The sequence below is a fragment of the Homo sapiens genome, chromosome 11, assembly GCF_000001405.40.
Source record: "Homo sapiens chromosome 11, GRCh38.p14 Primary Assembly".
Lineage (NCBI taxonomy): Eukaryota > Metazoa > Chordata > Mammalia > Primates > Hominidae > Homo > Homo sapiens.
In genome coordinates, this window is record NC_000011.10 from 17,159,263 (window position 1) to 17,174,196 (window position 14,934).

At 39.5% G+C, this 14,934-nt stretch overlaps 1 protein-coding gene across 6 annotated transcripts in view; it reads right to left on the reverse strand.

The window, feature by feature from the left end:
- The window catches only part of PIK3C2A (phosphatidylinositol-4-phosphate 3-kinase catalytic subunit type 2 alpha), a 121,412-nt gene that overhangs the window by 72,688 nt on the left and 33,790 nt on the right, over positions 1-14,934 (reverse strand). For 5 of the 6 annotated variants that reach the window (NM_001386870.1, NM_002645.4, XM_047427128.1 and 2 more), the window contains one exon: positions 9,415-10,544. The exons of the other annotated variant lie outside the window; for it this stretch is intronic. In NM_001386870.1, the coding sequence (NP_001373799.1) occupies positions 9,415-10,479 (1,065 nt within the window). In that variant the 5' untranslated portion in view covers positions 10,480-10,544. The remainder of the gene's footprint in view (positions 1-9,414; positions 10,545-14,934) is intronic. 6 annotated transcript variants of the gene reach the window in all.

Genomic DNA, 14,934 nt, shown 5'->3' on the forward strand with positions numbered 1-14,934 from the left:
CACAAATGATTAGTATGTGCAATCCTCACACTGTATAACCACACACATTTTTTAACAAATGAAAGAGATATATGATAATCAATAAGAAAACACTGCCAATGCATTAGCCAATACCTGGAACAAAGAAAGAAGTTTGCAGGGGAAGATACAAAGTTCTCTAGTAAATATGTTGTGTTTGAAAATCCATGTAGATGTTTAGGTCATCGTCTAGAAATGTTCTACTCCAGAAATATTCTATTCCAGAGCTAGAAACAAAGATTTAGTGATCATCCAATTTCTGTAATTTTTTACAGGGAACTCACTCTCTCTGTTAACTGCTGTCAGCATCCATCAGGATCACTGAGACAGCAAATTCTCAGTCAGTAGTCTTTGGGTCAAGCTCCATTAAGAGGAAACAGTCTCTTTGGGAAGCTAAAGGAGACATAAGGGCCTGTATCTGTGAGGCACAGAACTGGGACATCTCTTTATTTTCGTATATATGGAATGGCTTATGCAATTATGAGCTGACAAGTCTCCAGATCTGCAGCTGGCAAGCTGGAGACAAAGGAGAGCAATGGTGCAGTTGCAGAACGCAGGAAGGGCCAATGCTTCTGTTTTAGTCCAAAGGTAGGAAAAAAATTGATGTTCCAGCTTCAAAGCAGTCAAGCAGGAGGAGTTTCCCCCTTACTTTTGGGAGGGTCATTCTGCAGGCCTTCAACTAATTGGATGAGGCTCACTCACATTAAGCAGGGAATTTGCTTTATCCAGCTGACCAATTCAAACATTAATCTGACCCAAAAACACGCTCATAGAAATACCCAGAATAATGTCTGATCAGATATCTGGACACCTCATGGCCTAGTCAAGCTGAAACATAAAATTAACCATCACAGCATCTCGAGCATAGACAGCCAAGGAGTCACATTACTACAAGGGTCTAGATCAGTAGCTTTCAATTTAAGTAAATTGGAGCCTCAAGAATAAAGCACTGGCCAAGGGAAAACAAGTAAAGCATTATTAAAAACAACCAAGAACAAAACCTTTGGAGGAATGCCTATGTTTAAAGGCTAGACAAAGAAAAAGGAGTCAAAAATCACAGGAAGAAAAATAGGAAGTAGATTTACCCAGGGCAACAGAAGTTTCAAGAAAAGGATGTAGTCAATTTTTAAAAAATAAGCAAAAGGGCTAAATGGTGAATATGGTCGAGGGATTGGCAATTCTATAACATAATGGGAATAACAGAAGGAGAGCAAGAGACTGGAAAGGCAGTGAGTACAAATTCCTTTTTAAAGAGTAATAACTTTAAGGACAGGTGTGGTAGCTCATATCTGTAATCCTAGCACTTTGGGAGGCAGGTGGATAGCTCTAGTCCAGGAGATGGAGACCAGCCTAGGCAACATAGTGAAACCCCATCTCTACACAATATACAAAACTTAGCTAGGTATGATGGCATGCCCCTGTAGTCCCAGCTACTCAGGAGGTTGAGGCAGGAGGATGGCTCGAACCCAGGAGACAGAGGTTGCAGTTAGCCGAGGTTGCACCATTACACTCTAGCCTGGATGACAGAGCAAGACCCTGCCTTAACAAAACCAAACCAAAACAAAACAAACAAACAAACAGTAATAACTTTGGGGAAGACAGGAACAAACAGGAACAAAAAAAACAGTTAAGTTTTGGAAAAGGGAAGGAACATCTCTTCCTTTCAAACCAGAAAGATGAGGGAAATGTGAGGTGAGCAGTTCACACATGGATGGCCTTGACCTCAATTTAAAAGAAAAAAAATGGTAGAGAGTTGGCAGAGGTGAGTTTGGAGGTTTAAGGAAAGTGGTGAAGGTTTAAAATAATTCACAAAAATTTATCATTAATACTCTGTAAAGTAGTTACAAGAATATGGGGAAGATTTATACCTATACAAGTTCAAGGTTCATGCCACATTACCCAGAAATTATATGGAACACAACACCAAGTTTTCAATAAATGCACTTTAAACATTAAATACATATTACTTTTCAGAAGAAAGTTGGTTACATCCTTAATTGGACTTTTTCCCAAAGAAACTTATATTTACTGTTCAAATATACTCAGTCAGACTATGAAAATCACATTTTGTTTAACTTTTGCTCTTCTTTAAAATTAATAATAGACATTTTGCCAATGGGGATATGTTTAAAATGTTAATACAATTAACTTTTAGAAAGAGTTTACAACCAAAGAACTTTGCAAAGCCACCTCTATGACAATAATTTGATCTATTATAAAATTCTTTGAAATCTGCTCAAAGTAGTTAAATTCACAGCTATTAACTAAAAGCCTGATTTAAACTTAAATTTCCAGAAGACAGTTTTAAGTATTATGTCTTTTACTGGTTTTGGTCACAAAAAATTGGAACTAATGTATTTAGGTTATTATTAATAAAACAAAGGACACTAGATGGAAACAGGAAGTAAGCTTGCTGAGTGAGAAGAAAAATACCCTCTGTGTTGAGTTTTTACCACAAAGCACAAAATTCTTACAGGAAATGAACACTTAAGCATGTGAAGTAATTATAAAGAATAGGCATTGCAATATTATTTTCCAATAAAAAATATCAGGGAAAAGTTTGTAAGTAGAGATGAATGGTGTGTGAAAAATTAAAAGCTCCGTGCCAATGAATTGTGCCATGGATTTCCAAAGTCAGCCTATTACCAGTGTTCAGTTTATCTCCCTATTTTGGTCTACATAAAACCAAACTTTATCTTCCTGTACACAAACAAAATGAAATCTTAGCACTAACAAGAAGGCTTAGAACTTTTTCATACAAAAATCCATTCTGGGCCGGGCGCAGTGGCTCACATCTGTCATCCCAGCACTTTGGGAGGCTGAGGTGGGTGGATCACCTGAGGTCACGAGTTCAAGACCAGCCTGACCAATAATGGTGAAACCCCATCTCTACTAAAAATAGAAAAATTTGCCGGGTGTGGTGGCAGGTGCCTGTAATCCCAGCTACTCAGGAGGGAGGCTGAGAGAGGAGAATTGCTTGAACCCGAGACGTGGAGGTTGCAGTGAGCCAAGATTGCATCACTGCACTCCAGCCTGGGCGACAGAGTGAGACTCCATCTAAAAAAAAAAAACAAAAACAAAAACAAAATCCTATCTATAGCATTTATAACAGGTGCATGCCAAGCCTCTAAGTCAATGTCTCAAATAATTGTGTTTACAACTGTTAAATTTAGCCTAAACCTGCCTCCTAACACATTTTAAGTTCAGCCTAACAATTTCTCCATGCATAGTGAACTGTAACCTAACTGGATGTGTACAACAAACTGTAACCTACTCTTGTGCCAATCACCAAGTTTCGGCCAATCAAGGGTGGCCAACTGTTCAAAACCTGTTCAAATAAGGCAAACATCAAGCCATAACCAATTCAGCTGCTTCTGTACCTCGTTTCCATTTTCTGTACATCACTTTCCTTTTCTGACCATAAATCTTCCACCACATGGCTGCACTGGAGTCTCCCTGAACCCATTCTGCTTCAGGGGCTGCCTGATTTGTGATCTCTTCTTTGCTGAATTAAACTATGTTAAATATGTCTAAAGTTTTTCTCTTAACACAACCTGAGAGCAACCATCATGAAATGTCTCTTTCTAAGTTCCTTTATAGATATTTAACCATGAAACCTGTCTCCCTGACTTTCTTCCCCATTGGTTCTTGTTCTACTTTTTAGGACAACAGATTTTAAAATTAAGCTACTAAACTGAATTCTCAATTCACAGAAAAAAATATATAAACAAATAGGACTTGTTTGGCCAGGCACGGTGGCCACGCCTATAATCCCAGCACTTGGGGGGACTGAGGCGGGTGGATCACTTGAGGTCAGGAGCTCGAGACCAGCCTAGTCAACATGGTGTAACCCCAACTCTACTAAAAATACAAAAATTAGCAGGGCATGGTGGCATGCACCTGTAGTCCCAGCTACTCGGGAAGCTGAGCCAGGAGAATCACTTGAACCTGGGAGGTGGAGGTTGCAGTGTGCCGAGATCACGCCACTGCACTCCAGAGCCTGGGTGACAGAGCGAGACCCTGTTTCAAAAAAACAAACAAAAACAAACAAACAAATAGGACTTGTTTAATTTTAAGTTTTTCTATGCAATGTATTTTAACTTTCAGCCCTTACTATCAGTTATTCCTTTGTTTTTTAGACACAGGGTCTCATTCTGTAGCCTTGGCTGGAGTACAAGGGCCTTATCATCATAGCTCATTGCAGCCTCAAACTCCTGGGCTTGAGATCCTCCTACTGCAGCTTCTTGAGTAGCTGGGACTACAGAATAGCTGTAGTCCCAGCGTGCATCACCACACACAGCTATTTTTTTTTTCTATAGACACGGGTCTCCCTACATTCCCCAGATTGGTCTCGAATTCTTGGCCTCAAGCAATCCTCCCACCTCGGCCTCCCAAAGCACTGGGTTTACAGGCATGAGCCACCAAACCCACCATTCTACCAGTTGTTTCTATTATAATCTAGCACAGATTGTCATCTAATGTAACACAAAGTAGTATACTTAATATATTTAACGTACTGAAAAAATTAGTATATCAACATTTCATCCTGTTTTATAAGAGCACCATGACTTTCAGGTATTCTACTTCCTGAATTGGTTTGAAAATGTATGTCCAAAATACAAAACCTTAAAAAAAAAAAAAAAGTCCACTTCCTCTTCCACATGGCAACTTCCCAAATTTTAACTATTATTTATGAAAGGATCTAGTCTAGCCAACTTTATTTCATAGATAAAGAAACTCAGATTCAGTGATTTAACTCCAATTAATATTCTCTTCTTCAGACAAAATGCCTCCAACAGTTCCTCAAATGGCATACGTTCTAGATCCTGAAAACTACAGTCTTCTCTTTTCAAGACATACTCTAGGCTGGGCACAATGGCTTACACCACAGGGAGACCTCATCTTCACAAAACCCAAAAAAATTAGCTGGGTGTGGTGGCGTGTACCTATAGTCCCAGCCACTCAGGAGGCTGCATTAGAAGAATCACTTGAGTATGGGAGGTAGAGGCTACAGTGAGCCGTGATCGCACTGCTGCACTCCACCCTAGGTAAAACAGTGTGAGACCCTGTCTTAAAAAAAAAAAAAAAAAAGACAAACTTCAGTTTCCTTACTGGTGGCCCCTCTTAGGATATACTCAAACAAAATTATTAGATGGGGTTTGATTAGAGTATAATGGAATGATGAACACTTCCTCAGCCATGCTGCAGTTAGACTGCCTTAAGACTGGCAAGTAGCCTAAGCCATGTCAGTTCAGATAGCATGCTATCAGTAAAGCTGTTGATATGCTACACTGTAGTAATCTAGCTCCACTCTCTGATTGATCCCCTGATCAAGTCATATTATTGCTTACCCAGTTTCTGACTCATATCTCTCATAATCCATTTGCTTACTACTTTAATCCTTCCCCTATATTTTTTAACTAAGATCTAGGAACTTGTTTCTGCTAAAACTAATCCTGTTTGGCAGCCTAGTTAATTAATTCCTAGAGTTTGAGCAACTAGCAGCTCTCTGTAACACCTATGTGACTTGATTACCCAGATCTTGCTAGGCAAACTTCTTCCTATCTTTAGGAAACCACCCATCCTCATTATTCCTCCAAGATACTTTCTGAAAGCACCCCAAATAAGGAAAATATCAAGATGGTACTGTGACAAATATTTTAAATACATAAGAAAAAATAAATGTAGGGAGACTTACATGGGTGTCACACCCCTGCCCCACCAAAGGAAAGGGTGGAGAACACATGTGTTGAACTAGGAGTGACCAATCTAAACTAAAAAGGTCAAGCAGGGGCAGGAAGTTGAGTTTCGCAATGAAAGCATTAACAACCTGTGCTTTGGGTTTTGAGCTGAAAAGAAACTGTTCCCAGGGTACTCTATTTTCACATTTGCTATTTGTCTTGTCATTTTCCCAACTTTATAGGCTCCTGAGTATGAATAAACTTTAAAATAACCTAGTCAAGAGGTCCCAAATGGAGGTCCAAGGGGGAAAGTTTTGAAAAAACTGGTTATCTTCCCCCTGAAATTCCATACTGTCCTTTGACACCCCTTCCTCCAAATCAGGACTGAGTAGGCCTAAACTCTCTAGGATACTGTGACATATAACTAAATTTGGGAAGCCATTTGAACCATATTTGAATATCTCCTATGACAGGGAACTTACTCCTTCCAAAATAGCATGTTGTATCACTGGAGTTTGAAAAAGGGAGGGCTGGCAGACCTTGGTGGCTCACGCCTGTAATCCCAGCACGTTGGAAGGCTGAGGCAGGCAGATCACCTGAGGTCGGGAGTTTGAGACCAATCTGACCAACATGGAGAAACCGCGTCTCTACTAAAAATACAAAATTAGCCGGTCGTGGTGGTGCATGACTGTAATCCCAGCTACTCGGGAGGCTGAGGCAATAGAATCGCTTGAACCCAGCAGGCAGAGGTTGCGGTGAGCTGAGATCACGCAATTGCACTCCAGCCTGGGCAACAAGAGAGAAACTGTCTCAAAAAAGTGAAAAAAAAAAAAAAAAAAAAAAAAAAGGGAGGGCTTTTAGAGTCAGATGGGTTTGAATGTCAGAACTTTGCTGCTTGCAAAGAGTTCTGCAGCCCTCTCCTTGACCTCCAACTTGTTATCATGAAAATTTTCAAATATACACAAAGTAAATAATAGAATAAACACCCAGGTATCCATCATCGGCTTCAACAATTATCAACATATAGCCAATCTTGTTTCATCTATAAGCCCTCCAAACCCCAATACCTCACTTGATTTTACTACATTTTAAATTCTACAGTATACATCTCTAAATATAAGATTCATTTAATTAATTGCAATACCATTATTACACCAAAATATTAACAGTAATTCCTTTTAACTTCTTTACATCTCAGTTTCCTCAACTGTAAAATAGGGATGGGTCATACTCTGGCCTCATAGGATTCTTGTGAGCTTTCTGTCTCAGTGATTAAAAAAAAAATGCAGAAGAGTCCTTTGGCTTTGGCAACATATTGGTAAAAATAATAATAAATAAAGAGTTCGGTTTGAGTATGTACAACATAGATAAAAAGCATGTAAGTTCTTGGGTTCCGAATCCCAGTCTTGGAGCTTTGGACAGTAAATAACCCACCTACCCAGAAACCTCAACTTGCTTAAGATGATGACTACATTGCATCTGGAATGGTAATATCAGCTTAGCTGGGATAATCTATTTCTCTCAGTAGGTAAATGACTTTTCAATAATGGGAAGTTCAGAATTTAAGATATAATTAAATTAATCAAGGTAATTTATAAACATCTGTATTAACTTCAAGACAATCTATTGTAGCTACAATGCATTCATTGTGGGGCTCTGCCTTCTACCAGTGCAAGGCTTGAGCCTAAGCGCAGCTCCCTACAAGACAAGGGGCTTCCTTTTCTTTGATAGCAAGACTAACTTATCAGAGCCCCAATGTCTGTCTCCAGGTTCAAGGCAGTTGCCCTTCCCAAACAACTATAAACAGCTGACATCTTAAATCCAGACTACATCTCAAATCCTGACTCCAGGCACTAAACACAGAATTCATTTCTCTCATGAGAAACCTATAAAATAGAGACCCACAGCTGGGGAGTCATCTGCCTATTAGAAATTGACCCGAATATGAATCCAGCAGTGACCTGGGCCCTGCAGGATGGGAAAATTAGGGGGACCAGTGCCTTCCCCCCAACTGCCCCTTTTTTTTTGAGATAGAGTCTTGCTCTGTCGCCCAGGCTGGAGTACAGTGGTACAATCATGGGTCACAGCAGTCTCAACCTCCTGGTCTCACACGATCCTCCCACCTCAGCCTCCCAAGTAGCTGGGACCACAGGAGTATGCCATCACGCCCAGCTAATTTTTTTGTAATTGTGTTAGAGACAGGTTCTCATTATGTTGCCCAGGCTGGTCTCAAACTCCTGGGCTCAAGTGATTCTCCCACCGTAGTCTTCCAAAGTGCTGGGATTATAAACATGAGCCATCATGCTGTCTAAACCTTCTTAACACCGATTTCTCTTCCTTCCAGACATCCAAAATGTTTTTTTTTTAAGTCAACAATTTGGCCGGGCATGGTGGCTCACGCCTGTAATCCCAGCATACTGGGAGGCCAAGGTGGGCTGATCACCTGAGGTCGGGAGTTCGAGACCAGCCTGACTAACATGGAGAAACCCGGTTTCTACTAAAAATACAAAACCAGCCAGTGTAGTGGCACATGCCTGTAATCCCAGCTACTTAGGAAGCTGAGGCAGGAGAATCGCTTGAACCTGGGAGGTGGAGGTTGCAGTGAGCCAAGACTGCACCACTGCACTCCACCCTGGGCAACAAGAGCAAAACTTCATCTCAAAATAATAATAGTAATAAATAAAGTCAACAATTCAACATAAACCGATCCAAATCATGCAAAATCCATCCCTCCCTTCCCCATCTAAATGCTAGTTAACTCCCAATGATAAAATAGTAGGTAAGTGCTGATCTAATTAGCTGAATATTAATTCACGTTAAAGTGAGAATGAGGCTTAAACATTCCCAGGATACACAGATATAAAAGCAAAACACAAATCTGCAATGGTAATATTTCATTCTTCACTTTTATCGACAAAAGTGTTTAAAGGGAGAGTCCTTTAAATTGCTCTTCTCTCTGGGGTTATTTATTCATTGATTCATGGTTAAAAACAACAAAACAAAATGCGTGAGAATTTCTATAATGGGGCTAAAAACCAAAATTTCTTATTTGCATTTAAAAAAAAACAGGAATAAGGAAGAGAAAGAAGGGAGCATATGTAATGAGGAGACATGGACAGACAAATTTAAAATATCTTAAATGCCTCTCAGTGACAGCCAGTTCCTTCATTAGAGGCTTTTTATTTACAATCCTAGAAAAATATTAATAGCAAGCAATTTTTCAATTGGCCTAATCACATTTCATCCTTTGCCACACAAGCAAAGAATCAAAGCACACTTGAGAGCAAAGAAAAACAAAATTCAAAGTGAAAAATATTTTTTTTTCTTAACAAATTATGGGCTGGGCGCAGTGGCTCACGCCTGTAATCTCAGCACTTTGGGAGGCTGAGACGGGTGGATCACGAGGTCAGGAGATCGAGACCATTCTTGCTAACACAGTGAAACCCCGTCTCTATTAAAAATACACAAAATTAGCCGGGTGTGGTGGCGGGTGCCTGTAGTCCCAGCCACTCGGGAGGCTGAGGCAGGAGAAGGGTGTGAACCTGGGAGGCGGAGCTTGCAGTGAGCCGAAATCACGCCACTGCACTCCAGCCTGGGCGACAGAGCGAGACTCCTTCTTAAAAACAAAAACAAAAACAAAAAAACACAAATTATGTACACAAATATGAACTCTGTGTTATACTAAGTTTGAGAAGTTAGTAAGAAAAGACTATACCTGAGATATATGGCCCTGGGCTTTTGCAAGCTGAGTTGTTCGAATATTTAAAGACTGGCTTCTTGTAACAGTTGCCACAGAAAGGGATTTTCCATTCACCTTTCTTTCAAGATGACAATTTGCTGTCGATCTCTCTTCAAGAAGAACAGCATCCCAAGGATCCTTTGCTAGCAAACTTGAAACATTTTTCTCTTCCTCATGGTCTAATACCTCCACATTATCCACCTTAGGCTTACTTAGAGGATCCAAGTCTAACCAGTCAAATTTACTGATATCCTCAGACTTTGGAGATACCTGTAGATTGCTGACTTTTGAATCTGTTATCTCCAAATCAGTCCTTGCTTTCCCATTTTTTAAAAATTCTGATGTACTAGCTATTTTGTCAAATAGTTTTGCCATGTCAGTACTGACTACTGGACGATAGATAGGTAAGCTTCCTTGTGGATGAAAGGGTGTGGCAGGTGTCAAAGGATATGAGAAATATGGAGATTGTCCCGGAAGACTTAAATATATAGGTTCTGTAGATGGAAAAGTGGGCATTCTTGGATTGAAGCCATTTTGGAATGCAGCCTGTTTACTGTAAGTAGAAGGATAAATAGAAGGTAAAGCATAAGTGGAAGGCCCAGGTAATCCAGGTGGCCACTGTCCTCTCTGAATAGTAGGTCTAAAATAGAGCTGTGCTGAAAAGGAAGGGCTCAGAATAGGAGTAACTGGTAATACAGGTGTTTTTTTAGTCTCGAAACTGTCATCCAGCAATAGTTTCTCAAGTTCAGCTTGGGTGAGCTTTTCTACATCAATATCTAATGCTCTTTTTTGGGAATCTGATTCAGGAAACACCATGAGATCATAATCCTGCTTGTTATAAACCTGTGCTTTTTTTCTGGTGCTGCTTGACAACTCAAAGCCTCTCTGATTGTCAGTCACTTGTCTATCCTTTTGCAGTTTTGCTAAAGCCTCTGCTTCCATCTGTAATGCTTCTTCTTTGTCCACATCTTTTGCTCTTGTTGGTTCCGGATGTGAAGATGGACATTCTTTAAATCCGCTGTTGCTAGATATCTGAGCCATGTCCACTAAAAAGACCAAACCTTCCTTCCTCTATTTTTTTCTTGTAGCTTCCAAAATAGCAAGGCCTATACATAAAAATAAACATAACACTCAATTAGATTTCTAAACATAAATATATTTTGTTTGCAACCTACCCCATATGACTTTGGACTTTAAGCCACTTAGAAAAATATACTACAAAATAAACAAAATAAAACAGATAAAATCTGGGTGAAGGAACACTTAACACCTTATACACTGTTGGGTTACAGAAGATGTTCAGATACACATTACTTTAACCCCATTTCCTGACACAACTGGAAAGCTGGCACAGTAAATGAACTTTAGACGCTTTCATTTTAGCAGTCAAAATGGCTGCCATTAACCAGTGGTACTTCTGGCAGAATTCTTAGCATGAAATGACTTAAGTGCTAGTCACATATTTTCAACAGTTCAGACAGGGTTTACCAATATGCAGAAATAGCAAGTCAAAATGGTTTTTGATCTTTTGCTATTTGTTAAATTGCTCAAAAGCCAATTAGCAATAAAAACATCCAATACCTAGTCAATAAAACAGGAAACTATTATTTTATCAAAATACTATGTGCAAAACTGATAAAGGTTTAATAATCTTCCAGAAATATTAAAAATGTATAATGTAACATGGATTTGAATAATAAGACAAAGTGTTAAGGCTTATTAGAAGTTCTGAGGCAATATTTCACTCAAAGATTAAATTATAGCTGAATTGGCCATATAGTTTTAATTACATTTCTATTCTGATTCTCTGCAGTTAAATCAATAGTTATAATACCAAAATTTCTCCTTTTCAAAATCCTTAAATATTTTTATTCTTCACGAAAAGATGAGAAGATAATTTTTAAACTTTGTCATAGTTTAGCTTATAAAAATTTATACTCCTCTATTTAAGACAAACACTTAATTCAGACCAAGATTACCCTGTGAAGCAATACGACCAACTGAAAGGTTGCTTAGCTACTCTGTAACACCGAGCACATTTCCTGCTTCTAATCAATATGATAAAAGGGTTAAATATGGATTCTGGAGTCACATCACCTTAGTTTAAGAAGGTATATGACTGGCCGGGCTCGGTGGCTCACACCTGTAATCTCAGCACTTTGGGAGGCCGAGGTGGGCAGATCACAAGGTCAGGAGATCGAGACCATCCTGGCTAACACAGTGAAACCCCGTCTCTACTAAATATACAAAAAATTAGCCGGGCATGGTGGCGGGCACCTGTAGTCCCAGCTACTCAGGAGGCTGAGGCAGGAGAATGGCATGAACCCGGGAGGCGGAGCTTGCAGTGAGCCGAGATCACGTCACTGCATTCCAGCCTGGGCGACAGAGAGAGACTCCGTCTCAAAAAAAATAAAAAGAAGGTATATGACCTTGGGCAAATGAAAACTTTTCTGTATGTCTTAGTTTCCTAATTTTTAAAATAAAAAAGTATCAATCTAAATTAGTACACAAACTAAATGAAATAATACACATAAAAGTGCCTCTCATTGGCCTTGGGCATAAGCATTAAATAAATGGTACGTATTATTAATCTAATCTGGTTTGTGATACATCCAGTTTAAATACCTAGAAAGCAAGAGAGCTCCTGTTTACATTCTATGGTCTTTCTTTCTAGCAAACACAATGCTTGTCTACCGTATATGCTCAATATATACGTGAGACAAGGAGGTAGGGAAAAACCCAAAATAAATTCAAATTAGTATAATACAAATGAAAATCCTAAGTGTTGAGGTAATACTAAACAAAAAAAAAAATTTTTACTAAGGAGGTCATGAAGAAAGAGGAATTCAAAGAATGTCCTTGGAATGTTCTTAGTGTATTATTTTGCAATTCCTTCATACAACTATTTTCCCTTCTGTGGTAGACTACAAAGCATGGGCACAATGTATATTTAAAATATACACACTTTACTGTATGTAAACTTTATATCAAAAGAAAAAGCTGTAAATATGGAACTCTTGCTACATATGCACAAAGCACTTAGAGGAAAGTACTAATGTCTACAATTTACTTTGTTGTTCTTGTCGTTTAGAGATGGGGGAGGTCTCATTATGTTACCCAGGCTGGTCTTGAACTCCTGGCCTCAAGCAAGCCTCCTGCCTCAGCTGGGATTACAGGCATGATCCACTGTGCCTGGCTCTTACAATTTACTTTGAAATGCATTTTTTTTAAAAGGTAAACTAATGGATAGCAGGATAGATGGATAAATATGTGATTAGACAGGTATAGAAAAATGTTAATAGTAGAATCTAGGTGATACAAATATGAGTATTCACTTTGAAATTCTTTTAACTTGGTTGCCAAGACTGAAAATTTTCAAAATAAAAGGCTGGATAGTAGGGAATAGGAGGAGCACAAATTCCTCCCATTTCAACACATACTCCCACTACTTGGGATGTGATTTTCTTGTTCCTCTCATAAAGAGGAGGGATCTATTTCTTTACTCTCTTGAGCTAAGCGGGCCTTATGACTTGGCTTTTACCAATGAAATGGAAGTGACACTGTGGGAATAGGAGTTCCAAATCTAGGTCCTAAGAGGCTTTACTACCTCAGTTCTTTGTCTCTTGAAATGCAGCCACTGCTATGTGAATGCTCACTGAGGATGAGAGGGGCCAGCTAACAGCCAGCACCAACCACCAAACATGTGAGTGAAGCCACCATCTTAGACCATCCATCCACACTCCAGATGACCACAACTCCATGAGTGACTGAAGGTGAGACCAGCAGAAGAAATCACCAAGCTGAGCTAAAGCCAAATTGATAACCCACAGAATCATTTTGGAATGATTCTGTTACATAGCAATAGATAACTGATAAACTTTTTCTTATTAGTTTTAGAAAACAAAGCGCAAGCCATTTTTACTATTTAGCAACAAACTTCTGTTTTAACTTCCACCACCACCTTCCTTCACTTATCCTCAGGGAACAAACGGTTTTCTTTTCCTTTCTAAGGCGACTTCCTCCATGTGTATCCTTAACCTTAGATTTCTAAACATAAATGTATTTTCCCCTCCACTTCATCATCAATGATTACCCTCCACTTCATCATCGGTGATTACCTCCTTTGCATTGTTAACTTATTTACTTGCTTAGGGTCCTGTGCCACAAAAAAGCTTAAGTCTTCTCCATATTGAAGGGGGGGAAATCTTAACATTCCCGTTTAGATTCCAGTAGCTTCCATTTTAATTTTCTTTTTTCACTGTCAAACTTCTCCAATGAGGGACCTACAGAATCTTTTCTTTACACATTCTGCCTTGGAAAAACTCTACTTGTCCTTCAGGGCCCAATTCAAATACTGTCTCCTCTCTTTAGCCTTCCCTAAGCAGCTCTTATCAGAATTCATCTTTTTAGATCAACCAAAACATTTTTATCACAGCTTTCTCTTCTTCACTTCTGTAGACCTTTTGCTGTTTTTGCCTATCAACATCTTTGCTTCTGGTTGCAGAACCTACGGCTTCCATTTTGGAGACTGATCTCCCTTTATCCCACATAGTTAATTAAAATAGAACTGGCCATTTCTACCCTTGTCCCCCATTCCCATCCACTCCAGAGGATCCAAATATGGCCCATCAGAGTTAACTCCTGGACTTCTGCTGAAACTATTTGGAAAGAAAGCTTTTCTTTGAGCTTACTAAACTCAGATATAAGCCTGGCCCTGCTGTGGCCGTCTTTGTCACCACTTGAGGAGATAATGCCTAAAAATGAATCCAATCCAGAAGAAAGCAGAGCTAAGATAAAACGAAGAAAGACAGATTCTGGCTAATATTACACTGGCATCTGGATCCAACTAAGCCCAAAGCCAACCTTTCATTTATGCAGGCCAGTAAGTCTCCCTTTTTGCTTAAGCCAGTTTAAAATGAGTTTCTGCCATAACAAAAAATGTCCTGATTAACACAGAATCTGTGAACCTATGTGTCTACCCAACAGACTAAAATAAGCTTAAGTGCAAAGGCCTACTTGTTTATTTTTGGAGTTCCCCACAACATTTAAAAGTACCTTGCTTAATGAATAAGAAACTTAATTTACTGAACACGTGGGGTTTGTTTGTTTGTTTGTTTGTTTAGACAGAGTCTCATTCTGTTGCTCAGACTGGAGTGCAGTGGCACAGTCTCGGCTCACTGCAACCTCTGCCTCCTGGGTTCAAGCGATTCTCCTGCCTCAGCCTCCCGAGTAGCTGGGATTACAGGCGCTCGCCACCACACCCGGCTAATTTTTGTATTTTTAGTAGAGACCAAAAAGTTTAGTAGAGACTAATAGCGTTTTGCCATGTTGGCCAGGCTGGTCTTGAACTCCTGACCTCAAGTGATCCACCTGCCTCGGCCTCCCAAAGTGCTGGGATTACAGGCGTGAACCACCTCACCTGGCTGAACATGTGTTTTAACAAGAGGGAGTGAGGGCTATTGGACAGTCTTAAAGAAGGCATTTCTAATGGCACAA